The sequence below is a fragment of the Homo sapiens genome, chromosome 4 (genome assembly GCF_000001405.40).
Source record: "Homo sapiens chromosome 4, GRCh38.p14 Primary Assembly".
Taxonomy (NCBI): Eukaryota; Metazoa; Chordata; class Mammalia; order Primates; family Hominidae; genus Homo; species Homo sapiens.
Genome location: NC_000004.12, coordinates 526,879 through 544,830, shown reverse-complemented (window position 1 = coordinate 544,830; position 17,952 = coordinate 526,879). Strand labels below are relative to the sequence as shown.

The 17,952-nt window shown below is 48.9% G+C and overlaps 1 protein-coding gene across 29 annotated transcripts in view; it reads right to left on the bottom strand.

Moving 5' to 3' along the window:
- PIGG (phosphatidylinositol glycan anchor biosynthesis class G (EMM blood group)) overlaps window positions 4,631-17,952 on the bottom strand; it is a 40,991-nt gene continuing 27,669 nt past the window's right edge. For 17 of the 29 annotated variants that reach the window (NR_144329.2, NR_144332.2, NR_144328.2 and 14 more), the window contains 4 exons: window positions 17,601-17,792; window positions 14,086-14,395; window positions 10,850-11,013; window positions 4,631-5,678 (listed from right to left, as the gene is read on the bottom strand). Coding sequence is in view for 18 of the 29 variants with exons in the window: in NM_001345994.2 (NP_001332923.1) it covers window positions 5,462-5,678; window positions 10,850-11,013; window positions 14,086-14,395; window positions 17,601-17,792 (883 nt within the window). In the remaining 11 variants the exon portion in view is untranslated. The other 12 variants (NR_144331.2, NR_144334.2, NR_144330.2 and 9 more) reach the window with 6 other exon arrangements.

The following is a 17,952-nucleotide window of genomic DNA, read 5'->3' as shown; positions in this document are numbered from 1 at the left end:
TGGTGGTGGCTAAGGGGTGAGGCTCCCCTGCTTTTGGAAAGGGGAGGAAAGAGTGGGGGAGAACTGTGTCTTGTGGTTCAGTGCCAGCACAGCTTGAGTACAATAGAACACCAGGTAGGCTTCCAAGGTTTTTGACCCTAGTTCCTGACAGCACCTCTGGACCATCCAGGGTCTGGGGGAACTCGCTACCCTGAGGAGAAAGACACAGGCCTGGCTGGCTTTGCCAACAGCAGATGGCAGAGCCCCAGGGTGTTGAGTGAACATAGGCAGCAGCCAGGGAGTGGTTACAGACCCAGTGCTGTGCTGCCTTCAGGTCTGACCCAGTGCCGTCAGTGATGTGGCCACAGGGGTGCTTGTGTCACTCCACCCCAGCTTTAGGTGGCTCAGGACAGAGAGACTCCATTTGTTTGGAAGAAAGTAAGGGAAGAAAACAAGAGCTTCTGCCGGGTAATCCAGAGAGTTCTCCTGGATCTTATTCAAGACCATCAAGGTGGTGCACAGTGTTACTGGGCTTGGGGTGCTCCCTAAGGCAGATAGAGCATAGATCACAACACCAAGTCCTTTCAGATACCTGGAAGCCTTCCAAAGGAGGGGTACAAACAAGCTCAGACAGTGAAGACTATAATAAATGTCTACCTCTTCAATGGCCAGACACTGAAGAACATCTACTAGGTTAGTGCAAAAGTAACTGTGGTCTTTACTAGGTTAGTACAAAAGTAACTGTGGTTAGTGCAAAAGTAACTGTGGTCTTTACTAGCATCAATACCATCCAGGAAAACAGGACCTCACCAAACGACCTAAATAAGGCACCAGGAAGCAATCATGGAGAAACGAGATATGTCACCTTCCCGACAAAGAATTCAAAATAGCTGAGGAAACTCAATGAATTTAAGATGACACAGAGAAGGAATTCAGCATTCTATCAGATCAATTTAACATAGAGATTGAAATAATTAAAAAGATTCAAGCAGAGACTCTGGAGCTCAAAAATGCAACTGGCATACTGAAGAATGCATCAGAGTCCTTTAATAACAGACCTGATCAAGAAGAAGGAAGAATTAATAAACTTGAAGACATGCTATTTGAAAATACACGGTCAGGGGAGACAAAAGAAAAAAGAATAAAAAAAAATGAAGCATGTCTACAGGGTCTAGAAAATAGCCTCAAATGGGCAAATCTAAGAGTTATTGGCCTTTAAGAGGAGGTACAGACAGGGGCAGAAAGTTTATTCAAAGGGATAATAACAGAGAACTTCCCAAACATGGAGAAATATATCAATATCCAAGTACCAGCAGGCTATAGAACACCAAGCAGATTTAATCCAAAGAAGACTACCTCAAGGCATTTAATAATCAAACTCCCAAAGATCAAGGATAAAGAAAGCATCCTAAAAGCAGCAAGACAAAATAAACAAATATCCTATAATGGAACTCCAATATGTCTGGTAGCAGACTTTTCAGTGGAAACCTTACAGACCAGGAGAGTGGCATGACATACTTAAAGTGCTGAAAGAAAAAAAGTTTTACCCTAGAATAGTATATCTGGTGAAAATATCCTTCAAACATGGAGGAAAAATAAACTTTCCCCGACAAAAGCTGAGGGATTTCATCAACACTAGACCTGTACTATAAGAAATGCTGAAGGGACTATTTCAGTCAGAAAGAAAAGGGTGTCAATAAGCAATAAGTAATCACTTTGAAGGTACAAAACTCACTGGTGATAGTAAGTACATAGAAAAACACAGAATATCATAACACTCCCACTGTGGTGTGTAATACCCTTATCCTAAGCAGAAAGACTAAACAATGAACCAATAAAAAATAATTTTTCAAGACATAGACAGTACAATTAACATATAAATAGAAACAACAAAAAGCTAAAAAGCAGGGGGACAAAGTTAAGGGGGACAAAGGCAGCTCCAGAATTTCTGCTTGGTGTTTTCTAATTTCGTTAAGGGGACTAATAAAAACTAGAGTTTTTTATTGTTGTCTTTTTGTGTGTTTATGCAAACAGTGCTAACTTGTGACCAGCTTAAAATAATGGGTTATAAGATAGTATCTGCAAGCCTCATGGTAGCCTCAAACCAGAAAACATACAATGGATACACAAAAAATAAAAAGTGAGAAACTAAATAATATCACCAGAGAAAATCACCTTCACTAAAGGAAGACAGGAAGGCAAGAAAGAAGGCCACAAAACAACCAGAAAACAAGTAATATGGCAGGAGTAAATCCTTACTTATAAATAATAATGAATGTAAATGGATTGAACTTTCCAATCAAAAGACATAGAGTGGCCGAATGGATGAAAAATCACTTTACCATGTAATGATCCCTCTAGTGTTTTCCCCTCCAAACATCTTTTGATTGTATTGTCAAAGTTGATCAAGTTATTGGTGTTACAAAAAAAATCCACTTGGTCACAGGGCTCCACTGAGGATAAATGAATTAAAGTATAGCATAAACAATACTTTAAAACAGTATCAATCTTGTCATTGCATTGTCCTATCAATATTCCATAGTTACAGATATGAAGAGGCAGAAACTCTTTGATGTGGACAATCAGCCTTCCAATTGAAACAAGGCTTTGTGTATCCTCTGCCTGAGAAGCTGCCCTTTCTCTGTTAGCTACCAGCTCTCTTAATAGATGTTATAAGAAATTAATTTTAAAAGAATATTGTATATTTCTTGTAGTGAAGAAACATTTATTCAAAATTCAGCCTTTTCTTTGGTTTCACTTTTCCTGTTAAATTAAAAACTTATATAACTACTTTGGATTAAAAAGTTATATATAATATTTATATATAATTTGTATAAATATATATTTATATAAAATATTATTTGTATAAATATTTATATAAATATTTGCATAAATATATATTTATATATTATTTGTATATACATTTATATAAATATTTGCATAAATATATTTATATAAAATATTATTTGCATATATTTATATAAAATATTTGCATATATATTTATATAAAATATTATTTGCATACATATTTATACAAAATATTATTTGCATATATTTATATAAAATATTATTTGCATGAACATATTTATATATTTGCATATATATTTATATAAATATTATCTGTATATATATTTATATATTATTTGTATATATATTTATATAAAATATTTATAAATATATAGTATGATTTTCATGTATGCATCTATGCATCCTCCCTGCTTCTTCCATTTAGTGAACTGTATTCACTAACTGTTAGTGACTGTTTCTTCTGGATGGTGAGATTTTTTTTCTTCACATTTTTATTTTTTTAGAGATGGGCCCTGGCTCTGTTGCCCAGGCTGGAGTGCAACGGTGCAATCCTAACTCACTGCAGCCTTGAACTCTTGGGCTCAAGTGGTCCTCCTGCCTCAGCCTCCTGAGTAGTTGGGACTACAGGCACATACCACTACACCTGGCTAATTTTCAAATTTTTTTTTTAGAGATGGGGTCTCACTACATTGCCCAGGCTGGTCACAAACTCCAGGCTTCAAGCGATCCTCCTGCTTCCCCAACCTCCCAAAGTGCTGGGATTACAAGCGTGAGCCACCATTCACTCTTTAAAGACTTTTCTGATGAGCTCGGTTGTGATATAAATAAGTGATTTTGGTATGGAATAATGAACAACATTTGGAAATTTCTATCATCCAGTGAACTGTTATTTTCCAAACAACAATGCAGATGTTAAGAATCACATCTGGGTAAAAGTTCCATTCAGGGTGCAAGACAGGTCAATGTGTCGTAATGCATCAGGACATGAAAGTTCATTGATATGATTTCAGATTCCACATGGCAGCTAACCTTTTCTTTTTCAAAATAACTTTTGTTTTGAAATAGTTGAAGACTCACAAGAAGTTGCAAAAATAGTATAGAGAGTTCTACATATCCTTCACCCACCTCCCCCCAATGATGGTATCTTACACAACCAGATAAATACCAGGAAAATGATGTGGGCACAATTCTATTAATTCGAATACAGCCCTCAGTAGCATTTCACCAGTTTTTATATGCACTCGTTTCTTTTCTTTTTGTCCAACTAACCTTCAGCAAACTAACATTTGTTGAGTTTTGGTGTTGGCATCAAAAAAGATTTGGTGTTGGTATCAAAAAAGAACATCCACAATAATCAGAAAAAGGACATTAAAATATGCCTCCTCTTTCCAACTACTGATCTGAGGCTGGATTTTCTTCATATATATATAATAATTATTATTTTTTGAGATGGAGTCTCACTCTGTCACCCAGGCTGGAGTGCAATGGCACAATCTTGTCTCACTGCAACCTCTGCCTCCCTGGTTCAAGCGATTCTTCCACCTCAGCCTCCCAAGTAGCTGGGATTACAGGCACCTGTCATCATGCCTGGCTAATTTTTGTATTTTTGTAGAGACAGGGTTTCACCATGTTGGCCAGGCTGGTCTTGAACTCCTGACCTCAGGTGATCTGCCCCCGCCTCAGCCTCCCAAAGTGCTGAGATTACAGGTGTGAGCCACTCTGCCCAGCCGATTTTCTTCTTATATTGTAACCAAACACACATATCACAACAGGTCAAACACAAAATCCAACTAGCTTCAATTAGGCCAGGCATTAAAGAGGTTTGTAAAAATGTAAAACATTATCACTTTTCTCATTAAACATTTATTTTTTCATTTTAAAGACAAGAGTCTCACTCTGTTGTCCTGGCTGGAGTACAGTGGTACAATCATGGCTCACTGCAGCCTTGAACTCGGCTGAAACAATACTCTTTCCTCAGCCACCTGAGTAGCTGGGACCACAGGTGTGTGCCATCACGCCCAGCTAATTTTTTGAAGTTTTTGGAGAGATGAGGGTCTCACTATGTTTCCCAGGCTGATCTCAAACACCTGGGCTCAAGTGATACCCCCACTCTGGCCTCCCAAAGTGCTGGGTCTCACTGAATTTTTTTGTTTTGGAAAATATAGTTACTTTTCCTTCAAGTGTTTCATTAATATGCAATAGATTCCTTATAAATGAATACTTTTTTATCTTAGTTTTCATCTCAAATGCCATAAACACTGATACATGTAACCCTCATAAACCAAAGCGCCTTGGGGCCCTCAGTGGTTTGTAGGATTCTAAGAGCTCTGTGCTCCCTAAGGTAATCTGGGTGCCTCCTCCCACAGAGCTCCTGGACTCTAACAAAGTCCAGAACCTTTTCATTCATTGATTTAAACACACATATTTGGGTCACACCATAGCTTATTCAGAGGAAATTAAAAGTTCAGAAGCTTCTAGAGTGATTGTCAATGGGGGAAAATATGATACAAACTGTATATTAAAGTGATCTTTTATTAAACTATTTACTGCTTAGTCTAAATTCAGGTAGAGCAGTCAAAGAAAGTTATCCATCAACTTTGTTGAATTCATATCTTTCATTTTAGAATAACAGCAGACTTTAAGCATGTATTATTTTTCCAGTGTTCAGCTTAGTCTAAGACTGTGTGAGTCTGGTTTGATCCATTGCCGTGAAGAATACACAGACAGCAGCTGTAATGAGCAGGTGCATTCCCTCGTAGAGAAGTTTTGGAGAAAATACACTCCATATAAATAAATGATAACGCAGAGATGTCACCAAAACGATGTACGTGAAAACTGGAATAGAACAAATCAGTGCGTAGCAGAAGCAAGCATGACTCAGTGCTGAACCACTGTTAATAAGAAAGAAAATGTGTATTAGCACATGCCACTTACATATCACACATGTAACAACACTTTTATTTTCAAAAAGACTCCAGTAGCTCTTGCCCTTGGAGTAGAGGGCACCGCGTTCCTTCTTCTGCACACACATCCAGTCACTATGGTGCTGGGACAGGTGCCTCTCCAGATGCGCTGGAGACGGGAAAACCCAACCTGCCCCCTTGGAGGCTGTGTTCTAGTGAAGGAGGCAGGAGAAACCAGATATGTAACATGTCAGGAAGAGACAAATTCATGAAGAAAAATGAAGCAAACAGAAGGATGGGTGAGGGCCACCATGTCCCCCCCCACACACACCTTGAGCTCTCCAGAAATGCTTCTGAAACTTGACTGTATGTAAAAATCACCTACAGTATGTGCTGGAAGTGCCACTCTGGAGCCCCCCCTACAGAAATCTGGATGTGGTTGGTCTGGGGTGGGCAGAGGTCTGAGTCTCCAGAAGGCACGGAGGTGCCCGAGGGGACATGAGCTGCAGCCCCAACTGCTCAGCCACTGTCTGCCACCGTCATCTGTAAAACAGCTCTGAAAAACGCACCCCCCAGACTTTGCAGTTATTTAAAAATTATATATGCATGTGCTACTATATCACATGCATTATAAAATACAAACGATGAATAGAAAATCACAAAAGGGTGAGATACAAATAAACATAAATACAAGTTCTGAGCTTTTCTCCCTGCTGTGGTGTGGAGGACTGTCTGGTCTGGGGACACTGGCCCAGCGGGGTTTGCTGAGCAAATTCTCGGAATAAGAGCCACCCCTCGAAGTATGTTAATGTACCCCCTAGTTTTGAAACCACCAACACACTACATAAATCTCTTCCTCAAAGCAACTTCCCTGAGTCTGTGATTATTGAAAAATGATAAATTACATTATTTGGGCACTTTCCATGCCTCATCCATGACCTCTGATCAAGTTCTGTTAGAAAGGGCCCGGAGGCAGCCCCCAGATCCTCAGTCCTGTCGGCACGTGTGTGTGTCTGGGTGTGTGGGTCCCGCTGCATGTCCTGTAAAGGGCCCCTCGGTCCTGTCAGCACGTGTGTGTGGGTGTGTGGGTCCCGCTGCATGTCCTGTAAAGGGCTCCTCAGTCCTGTCGGCACGTATGTGTGTCTGGGCCCCACATGCATGTCCTGTAAAGGGCTCCTCAGTCCTGTCAGCCCAGCAGCTCCACCAGGTATTACTTGAGGGTGTCCTGTAAGTGGCTCCTGCTTCAGTGCTCACTGCTCAGGAAAGGGTGTCAACAGCCACGAAGGGCCAAGGACGGGGCTGTCTCTGGCCCCTCCACAGCCTCACCTCAGCCCCCCACCGGCTCCCCATCTCAGGCCTTGGAGGGGCCCATCCTCCTCTTGGCTTCTCCAAACACTCCTTCACCTCAGCCCGCCATGTGCTCCAGTAAAATACTCAGACCCTGGGATCTCCCGGTGGGTGGCCGGTGCCTCTGGTCCTTTCACTGCTTTCCTTGCCAGGCCCTGGCTCCTTAGGCGGGTCCCCCAAACCCGTACCGCTGGTCACCACTTGGTATCCAGCCCCACAGGCCGGGGACCCCACAGGGAGGTGGACCCCAAGGTATCCTCAATACACCTCCTGGTGACAGCAACACCCAGGAAAAGGTGAACATACTGGGCAGGAAGATTCGTGGCTAAGTGGGCCGTGGCCCCATCCTACCCAGACAGCGCATGGGGAAGCTGTGGCTTAGACATGGCACCACCTTGACTTCAGTTTAACACTTTATAGCGTTACCCACCTAGAAGATGGCGGCTTGCTGTTCCCACCACTTTAGCAAAGAGCCATTTGCGCTGCAGGGGAGCAGGCAGCCCGGGGTGCCAGCCCCTGGAACAGAGGGTCGCCAACCACTCAAGGCCACGTTTTTGACCTTTTGGAAACATATTTTCTCTGTCTACAATTTAGACCTGGTTATAGTTTTCCTACTCTACTGAAACAAAATAGAAACCATGAGTAAAACTTGATGCTTTAAACTTTTAAAAGGGAAGAAGAAAACCCTATAAAATGAAGGAGAAATGCTTCTTGACTAGGAAAAATATCATGATACTCTCCAGTTGATCAAAATGCTTTCACCTCACTTAATATTTGTCTTTTTCCCTCCCAAACACAAACGTGCCTGGCTGTGTAAGAGATGAAAAGTGCCTGGTCCATCAAACCGCAATCTGCAAGCACCAGGGCAGCTGCAAGGCCGAAGACCAAACCTACAGAGAGAGGAGCCGGGCAAGTACTTCCAGCCCTCCGTCTCCAGCTGGCCACTGGGAGGTGTGCCGTCCACCCAACAGGTGCTTGATCACGCCGCGCACAGCTGTAGCACATCCGTTCTCCAGGGCAGAGGCAGATGCACCTCCACGCGCTCACGCCCGCTTGTCCTGACACCTGACCACACGACGTGCTGACAGCCCACCCCAGACGGCCGAGGACGGCGTCTCCTGTTTCTGTAAGGCCAGTGTGAGCACGCGGCTGGCCTCAAAACCAAGTCAGAGAAAGACGTCCCAGGGCAGCTGCTGAGACAGGCGGACGCCGAGCAGGGGTCTCGTGGCAGATGTTTGTTTTTATGCAGAATCGAAGTCTGGAAGGACGTCTCCACACAGCGCCGCCACAGTGGGTGTCTCCCAAGCTGGTCTGTTGGTGGCTTCCGCCCGCAGAGCCTCAGCTTTCTGCTGTGATGACAAGCTCAGCGGTGACTGTAAATTACGGGGGTCTGTCCACAGACTGCCCCAAAGTGGGCGTGTCAAGCGTCCACAGGCACCTGAAGAAAAGGCAGGTGGATCTCAGGCATTCCTGTCCCCGGGAAGCTTGCAGTCTGGCCAGGGAGCGATTCTCCCCTTGGAAAGGCTCCATGTCCGCTGTGGGAAGGCACGCGCCTATCACTGCTGAAGCAAGGCCAATGCTCCCCCGACCCCTTACGGAAACCTGTGAGCGACTGAGGGGTCCAGCCCGGGCCCGCCGAGTCTGCGGGGCACGAACACTTCCACCATGGTGGACGGTTCCTCTGGCTCCGAAGCACTCATGCTGTGAGAGCCTCAACACAGGACGTGAGCGGCGAGGGGCTCCTTTCAGGGTGGGAAAAGCTCAAAGGCAGGCACGGGTGTGCGTGCCTGGGTGCGTGGGCCCTGCCCGCATGTCCTGTAAAGGGCTCCTCAGTCCTGTCAGCCCGAGGACACCTCTGCGGAATGTCGACAGGGGGCTGGGCATCTGGGTCTGGAGGCAAGGCCAAGGGTCCCTGTGGCCTGGGTCTCAGGAGCTGGTCTGGGGAGGGGAGTGAGGCGGGGAGAGGACCTGCGTGGAGCTGAGAGGATGACCTGGTGAAGGAGGCTGTGGAGCAGAAGCCAGAGGGCGGAGCGGGACCACAGAAACGTGCAGATGCTCTGTGGAGTCGCCGGCAGCTCGGCAGGAGAAGCCTCCAAGTGTCCTGGGAGGGCTGGCACGGGGGCTCAGCAGTCAGCACCGCGAGAGCGACGGTTCAGTCATGGGAGGACGTAGGAGCCCTCCAGCCTCACTGCTCAGCGGAGAGGCCACAGCGCGCTCCCTGGGGCTCCCGGCAGGACTGGGGCCTCCGGTCACCACAGGACACACGCAAAGCTCTGGCTGACCTGCCCAAAGCCACCCAGAAAGTGCGGGAGGCTGGTCCAGTCAGTGTCCCAGACGCTCGCCTGCCCGGGAGGAGGCCGGGCCGCGGTGCGCGGTTTCAGCACACGCAGAAATGCATAGGCGCTGCGGGGATTCGTGACTGTGGCTGGCAGCAGGGACAAGCGTGGAGCACGGGGCACTCTAGTAGATGCCGCAGGGGCCACTAGCCCCTCCAAAGGCTGTGAACGCTTCCAAGTGTCCCCCATTGAGCTCCCAGCAACTCCCGTTTTACAGATGGGAAAACCAGGCACATGTGAGTCGAATAACTTTGCAGGCCCTGGGGTCTCTGCCAGACCAAGTTGGGAGGTACAGAATCACCCACCCCCGCCACACTCCACTCAGCACCTGACTCCGCCAGGCCAGGCACTGAGGCTGCTATGGTGAACAGAGCGGGTGAAGCCCCTGCCTCACAAAGCCTCCTTTCTTGGGGGAGCAAGAAACATACGATGAGGAAGCAGAGAGTGTGCGGCGGTGGGAACGCTGCAGAGAAGACGGGCGTGTGGATGGGGAGCTGCACCCTTGATCTGGGTTTCCCCGGGAGAACTTCTGCACAAAACCGCCAGGAGACGGGCATGTGGATGGGGGGCTGCGCCCTTGATCTGGGGTCCCCCGGGGGGAACTTCTGCACAAAACCGCCAGGAAACGGGTGTGTGGATGGGGGGCTGCACCCTTGATCTGGGATCCCCCGGGGACATCTGCACAAAGCTGCCAGGAGATGGGGATGTGGATGAGGGGCTGCACTGCACCCTTGATCTGGGGTCCCCCCGGTGGAACTTCTGCACGAAGCTGCCAGGAGACGGGTGGGTGTTGGAGAGGAGACCTCAGGCTCACTGGAGGGAACGAGGTGGACCAGGCAGGAGAGCATGGAGGGCAGGCCAGACGCAGCTTGAAGGGACTTCTCAGCGACAGGGGACGGGGCTCACGTCTCTGAACTTCCCTGTGCCCCCCACCCTGTTTTTCCAACCCAAATCAGCTTATGTGTGGAAGGGACATGCCCCTAGCTACTCAAGGACGACTCAGAAGAGCCACGGCCCTGGCCAGGAGCCTTCTCCAGGGTCCTGCGCGCTCCAGCAGGGTCTCTGGGGGCCGAGAGCCGTCTTTTATCTTCATGTCCCCAAAGGGGAAGGACGACCCGCCCTCCATCTGGCCACCAGCAAACAGAAAAACCTGGAGTGGCGGGAAAAGGAATTTTCCTTCCTGTGTCTAGAAACCATGTGCTGGTGTGACCTGGGCAGCCCAGCGAGGCCCCGTCAGACCCAACCCTGGGGAGCCCGGCGAGGCCCCGTCAGACCCGACCCTGGCCCTACACGGACACCTCAGGCCGGCTTCTGGCCCTTGAGCTTTGGACCGTTCCCTATTTAAGGAAAAGAAAACTGTTGAAAAGACTGTTGGACCCATGGAGCTTAGACCCCCTTGCATCTGGAACAAAGTACGACCCTTAAAACCAGGCAGCCGGCCCCCAGAACTGTGCTGACGGCAGAGAGGCGCCTCACCTGCGTGTTTCTGAGCTCAGGAAGTGCACTAAGTGGCTGGCCCACAGCACAGGCCCTGCGTACGTCCCAAACGCTGTCAGGAGCACGGCTGGGATTTCCACGTAGGTGTCTAAGCCCACGAAGCCTGCGGAGATGTCCACGGTGGCAATGTTGTTGGAGTTGCCCTGGAATACAGGAGAAGAGCTGACAAAGGCCTCACAACACGTGGCATCAACAGCCACGATGTTAGCGTGAGCCACGATGTTAGCGTGAACTGTGTAGGCAGCCCAGATAACCACGCCGGCACGGACACACGTGTGGTCAGAGGTGGCTGCCCAGCCGTTCCTTCAGACTGCCGAGCTGGCCTTGCCTAGGTGGCACCCCCTCCCCCTGCCTGCAGTGCCCAGGCTGCGGAAGGGCACGTGAGCGGACCGTGCAGAAGCTGGGGCCCCCTCTGAAGAGGGACGCACACACAGACCGGCTGGCTGACTGTGCCACATCTAAGACCCTTGTCCAGACCCATCGACTTAAGACAAGCACATGAAGCTCCCCTCAAGGACCCCCATCCGAGGGGCGCATAGGGCCCTGAGAGGCCAGCTGCTGGGCCCAGCCAAGCGGGGAGCTGGGCTGAAGACTAGAACGGGCACCCAGCCAGGTCCCATCTACGGTGAGGTGCTGCCAGTGGGTTATATGGTGGAGGGCAGGCCAGCCACTGGGGGAGCACAGCCCCTGGTGCAAATTGGTAACTCACATCTGGCTTACGTATCAGACCATGAGGACTCACTTGGTCTGGTCAAACTTCATCTGTCAAGGTTCTGGCCAGTCCCGGCCCAGCCCTGGTAGGTAACTCCCTGCAGGATGCAAGCGCTGATGCCACACAGCTTACCCTGCTCCTAGTGATTCTGGATCCCAAAAAGGGGTCTTCTGAGAGACCCTGCCTCTCTGCGCAGGCCCCGCCTCTCCACTCCAAGACCACACCTTTCCACTCCTAGGCCCTACCTCTCCATTCCTAGGCCCCTCCTCTCTGCTCCCAGGCCCCGCCTCTCCACTCCAAGACCACACCCTTCCACTCCTAGGCCCCACCTCTCCATTCCTAGGCCCCTCCTCTCTGCTCCCAGGCCCCGCCTCCCCACGCTCCATCTTTACTGACTCTGATGTCTGTCACTTGCCTGTCATGCTGACCTTTCCTCAGAAACTCATGACATCTACAGTCCGACAGCACATGTCTCTATCAAGCTCAACGAAGATCCCTCTCCAGAACCAGAACTGTTCATGTCCACAAAACACTGGCTGGGTGCTCACCAGCTTGGCTCCTTCCTCCCTTTCCATGCAGAGAGCTGTGGGCCCAGGGGGTCCCCAAGTCATGTTGATGCTGCTTCCCCATTATCTCACAGATGTGCATTGACTCCTATCCCTGTTGTCTTAGGCCCCAGCCCTTTGACTTGGCTTGCCCTGAGACCCACTGGACTCGCAGCTACTGCCTCTCTTGGACGGTGCCACCCCAGTCATGTGTCTCCTCCACTTGGAAGCTCTTCTGCAGGGAGACTGAGGAGAGAGCAAACAGGCAGAAGCAGTAGGAGACCCTGGAGGGTGGCAGGGGGACAGAGTCCCAGATGCCACGATGGGAGCAGGGGAGGAGGACACCTAGGAGGTCACTGTGGCTCTGAGCAGGCTCAGCCAAGCACAGAGACTGCCAGCCATGCTGACATGTCTGCAGCTGCACAGCAGCTTTACCTGCATGACTTCATCTAACCCAACAGTCCTGATGTGCTTCGTGATTATCCTCATCAAACAGGGAGGAAACGGAGGCAGAGAGACCCAGGGACTGGGCAAATGTGGAGGGCCAGCAGATGAGCAAGGGCAGTCATGTTCCTGATCCCTGATCTGTTAAGGAACTGCCCAGTCGAGGGCAGGAAGTAGGGATGGGCAGCAAAGCCACAGGTTCCTCTCAGAGGAGATCTAACACTGAGGGGCAGCGGACTCAGCCTCAAAACAGGGGCCACGGGGAGGTGGGGAGACCAGGGAGGGCTGGGTCCTGGGGAGGCCGGGAGACCACTATCCCTGGTTTACAGATAAGGAAACGAAGGTGTGGCAAGAGCCTGCCGGAGGCCACCTGGCTTGAACGTGCTGGATACCAGCATCCAGGCCTGCAGTTCTGCTGGGGACACCCTTGTGCCTTGCGTGGACATGGCAGGGAGAGCTGCAGCTGTGTACGAGGAGGACAGGGGCCTGAGCGGATCAGAAGGGTCGGGGAAGCACCAGGACGGGGCTAAGAAGCTGGCCATTGGCCACCTACTCATTGTACCTGAAGACACAGACTTCTGTAACTTCACGCCTACCACCTTTGGGCTTCAGGATCAGGGGGACAGACATAAAGACAGAAAATCCTGCAACTGTGGGCTGTTCCATGGGAAAGGCTGGGAGCACCAGGAAAGGAGAAGAGGATGGAAGAGAGGCCCTGTAGGGACACAAAGAACTGCACATGCCTCCTGGGTACGAGACAGCGGACAGGCAGACACCGGTGCACACCAAGAAAATACAGACCTCACGGTAGAGACCAAAATGCAACCACGACGTTCAGCTGCTGCAAAGCGACTCAGCCTGGGAGTCGGCACTGGAAGGGAACCAGCAGGGCTGTGCCTGCTCTCCTGAGGTTGCCGGGAGGCTGGATGAGGCTGGATCCCTCTGAGGCCCCATCTGGCCTGCTCTCCTGAGGTTGCCGGGAGGCTGGATGAGGCTGGATCCCTCTGAGGCCCCGTCTGCCTGTCCCTCTATGTCTCTTCAAACTGAGGTGGTTTGGGCTTGTCTGGGATGGGTCTTTAAACACCGGACAGAAGCCCTGACGACCCACCAGGCTTCAGGGAGCTAATAATCATGGGGGCACCAATGGTCCCCAGTGTGGACAGCCCCGACACCAGGGGCAAAGGGCATGAACGAGAACAATTATTACATTCATCAGTGAAGCAAGTGAACAACGTGATGTCTGTGCTTCCTGAACTGCTTGTAATAAATAAACCCAGGCCTGGCCCAGCAAAGCAGCAGTCTGCTGTCTTAAGCACCCACACATCCACACCTGGGACGCGTGTCTTAAACAACCGGCTGTACTTTGTCTTATAAAATACACGAGAGTTCAGCGTAATTCACCATGCCACACTGACAGTCACTTTCCAACTTATGGGAACATTTTCTCAAAGAAAAATTTAAAATAAATATGTAAAACATGAAGTCTACTACCCATGATAATAATGAAAACCTACCTGAAAATAGAAGAATGCTTGACCAAACCAATAATGCATCACAGTAATCTCAGCTGCATCGTGTCTCAGGGGCTTCCAGATGAATTTAGTCATTAGAGTCTGAATCAAGAGGCTAAATGCTAAGACCGGAAGATTATGTGGTCTAAAGAGCAAGGCTGCCAGAAGAACTAATCCACTATATATCTCCCATAAACCTACAGTCTTGAGTTTGAAGTCTGCAGCAATGACTTGAGATTTAAGTAAGTCTTTGGTGCCCGTGAACAGAATGCCAAGGACAAAGACATAAACAAAACGAGCTTCAATAATACCCCTAAAAAAGAGCAAAACAAGTTAGATTCATTAGCACCAGTGAGAAAAATTCAAAAACATTTTCCCATGAAAAACACACCTATCTACCCAGGGAACCAGTAAATGTCCAGCACTGCTGACTAAAGGAGCCGCGGCACCCTCCCTACCCCCCAGGTCCTGTCATGGCAGTGGGCATGTCTCCTCCGCACAGCAGCCCTGAGGAGCCGCCGCCACAGGCCCACAGGTGTGTCCTCGTGCAGACTCTTCCGCTGGGGCTGGCTTCGGGGAGATCTTGCTCATTTGGCTCATCTGGTGGCACGACCCAAGCGGTGCCCTCGTGGCCCGCCTGCTTTGCAGTTAATTAAAAAAAACCCAACGCACTAGTATAAGAGTCAACTCTAAGAAACTGCTGTAAGTTCATAAATGTTCATTGCACAACTGAGCAGATTTAAAGAAGGATTTGCACATTTACAGGTACACATACATGCAGTTATAGGTAAATAAGCACCTGCACATTCACAGGCACACACGCGTGCAGTGGTGCAGTCATCCAACCCGCGGGCTCTGAGAAAAGGCAGAGCTCTGCTCAGTCCGAGCCCTGCTGCTCTGCTCACTAGCTCTCCTACTCGGGCGTGTCAATCAAGACTTCTGACCCTCAGCTTTGCTATTTGTGAAATGGAGAGAAAATGGTTCTACACTTCACAAAGTCATCCTAGGAATTAAGCAAGGGAATGCAGGGAGTGCTTGGCACACAGTAAGCTCAGTAAAATTAAGTACTCTTATGATAGTTATCTGTAAAGGATACAATTACCAAAAAATTTCATCTTACAAAACACGTATGTTCCTAAAACATAATATTTTAAATAAATTTTGTAAATGAAATGCTTCACACAGCCTACAAATCTGATCATTTAAAATAATCGTAATTTTTAATATCATAATATTGTGAAAACTGAATTTTCCTATATTAGATTTTCTTAGAAAGCTTTTACATTAAGAAAGTAAACTTTGATCAGTTTAGTTCAAACAGCCTGAGCACTGTATACCATGTGCCTGGCAGTGTGGCTGCCAGGAGGGGCCCACATCCTGGCTGAGGAGCTGGGGTCAGGTACCTGGCAACCCCCACAGGCCAAGGTGTGTGCTAAGTTAAGAGTGAATTATAGGCCCATCTGCATTCAAAGAAGGGAGAAATCAGCAAAGGTCACAATCACTGGAGAAGTTTCATAGAAGAAAAGGGACTGGTTTCTGTGTCGAGAGGATGCTAGGGCAGGCAGGGTGATGAGCAGGAGGGGCATCATCCAGGGCCTTTGGTGGGTCCTCCTCCTCCTCCCCTGGCCGGGCAGAGTCTGATCCTGCTCAACCAGGCCCACCCCGCTTCCACCTCCACTCCAGCCATCCCTGGGCTTCTGAGTGGAGGACAGTCAGGAACTGAGTGCAAAGGATTTCAGACTCTCAGTGGATGGCAGGGCCCGGGGGACTGACAGGAGAGCGGCAGCTGTTACAATGATCTAGAGCCAGGATGCCTCTGTAGCCAGGACCTATTTACGATCGGGACAGATGGGGACAAAGGACGGAGGCACTTTACAGGAAGAAGGTGAACCAGGCAGTGCGTGTGGAAAGAAAAGGCACACTGGCTAGTTCTGGACACTAGCAAATTACATGCTGCAGGAAGCAGGCCAGGAAAGGGAAGAGGGCCAAGGTCTTGAGATGAGTGATGCTGAAATTCAGTGTATAGATCTGTGAGGAAATGAATTTATTCATACGCTGCACCTTAAACACACACCCGCAAATGTAACATCCATTTGGATGAGCCCTAAGTCTCAGATTCCAAAGTCAACAGCCTTTGAGACATCTCCACAGAACACCGCTGGTACCTGCACGTCAGCATCCTCTCTGCCCCAGGCCCCGGCCCCGTATGACGGCCTGCTACACTCTCACTGCCTCAGCCAGGCCTCAGGTCACCCTAACTCCCACCCCTTACTCCCCACTCAGCCAGGAAGTACTTCCAGGGGTGCCCCCGGAGCCCCACGGCCACCCCTCAGGCTGGCCACAGCCCTCAGCAGTCACCTTGACTTGCTGTGATTAGAAAAGCAACACTTATTAACTCTAGACATCGCTAAGATACAAAAATAAGTAAAAAGCAAGACCACAATCTTATGATTTCAGGTCCTAAATATAATCACCAGTATTTTAAGTATGTAGTCTTTCATATAAGTATGAAAAAAAAAACAGGTACACAATTAGTAAGCTGGGGTCATACCTGTTCCACAACATGCTTCTCTGTTCTGTGAAAATAGGCTGCCTAACAGCCAGAAGACCCCTCTGCAGAGCACCGACCTCACTGAGAGGGTCACTATCAGAGCACCGACCTCACTGGGACGGTCACTGTCAGAGCACCGACCTCACTGGGAGGATCACTGTATTGCTGCTGGATAATTACCCTGGTTGTTCCTTTTTGCAAGGACACTTTGTGAAGGACACTTCAGTGGACATGCCTCTGTCCCATCCCAGGCTCCTGCCTCTGCTTATATTCTTGAGATAAATGGAAACAGCTATTTAAATTTAAATAGAGGGTCACCCACATGTTACAAGCTGCCCTCCAGAACGGCCTCTGCTCATCCCACTCCTGTGTTCACCACCACAACACAATTAAAATCAGAAACACAGTTGCTTTGACACAAAGAAAATAAAATGGTCCTCCTGACTGAGCCCTCCCGCCAATCAACAGGAGCTCCTGGCCCCTTACGGGGGCTCGTTATAAATTACAAGGACGGTCTGATTTTCCAGCAAGCTTCATTTCCCAGCTGCTGGGAAACATCCACTCATCATCCTCATCACCAATTACACCCTGACCAGGAAAACAGAACCCTGGCCATCACGTGCTGCCACTAACTTAGAAACCGATTCACGCTCATCTGTCTGTCCCATCACACACCCTGAAGGTTTTATTTTAAATTTAAAAAATCTTACTTCCAAGTGATTTGTCTCCTAAAAGTAACACATAAAACATAAAAAGTGCTAACAACGCAGCTGGTTGAGGTTTTCTTAGTTACACTCCAGTAGCTGTTGACACAATCACAATTCACAAACACCAAACTCCAATGCTCTGAAGACTGGCTTGGTCTTCTCAGTTCATCAAACAGTGAAGTGGTTCCACGCGCCCCGTGTCCGCCAGTTCTTCAAACAGTAAAGTGGCTCTATGCACCCCGTGTCCGCCACGCACTTACTTGGAAATGTCCTTGCTGTCCGGCCGCCACGGGAACCGGACACTCCCGATGGCCGCCCGGTAGCAGTAGACGCCCAGCAGCCCCAGCGCCAGGGCAGCCTTGGACACAGGGGAGCACCCCCTCTGCACCAGCACAAAAACTACGAGGAGGGAGAGGGCAGCCAGGACAGAGAGCTCGGCTTTGTGGTCAGAGCTGAAATGAGATGGAAAATGCCAGCATTACGTAAACAAACAGCGACAAGATCAATCTACACCAAGTGGCTTTCAAAGAACGGTATTAAAAAATAGCTGATTTTCCCAAAAACCAAAGATTACATGAAATTGTTGATTTTTATTTTCAAACAAAGGTTCTT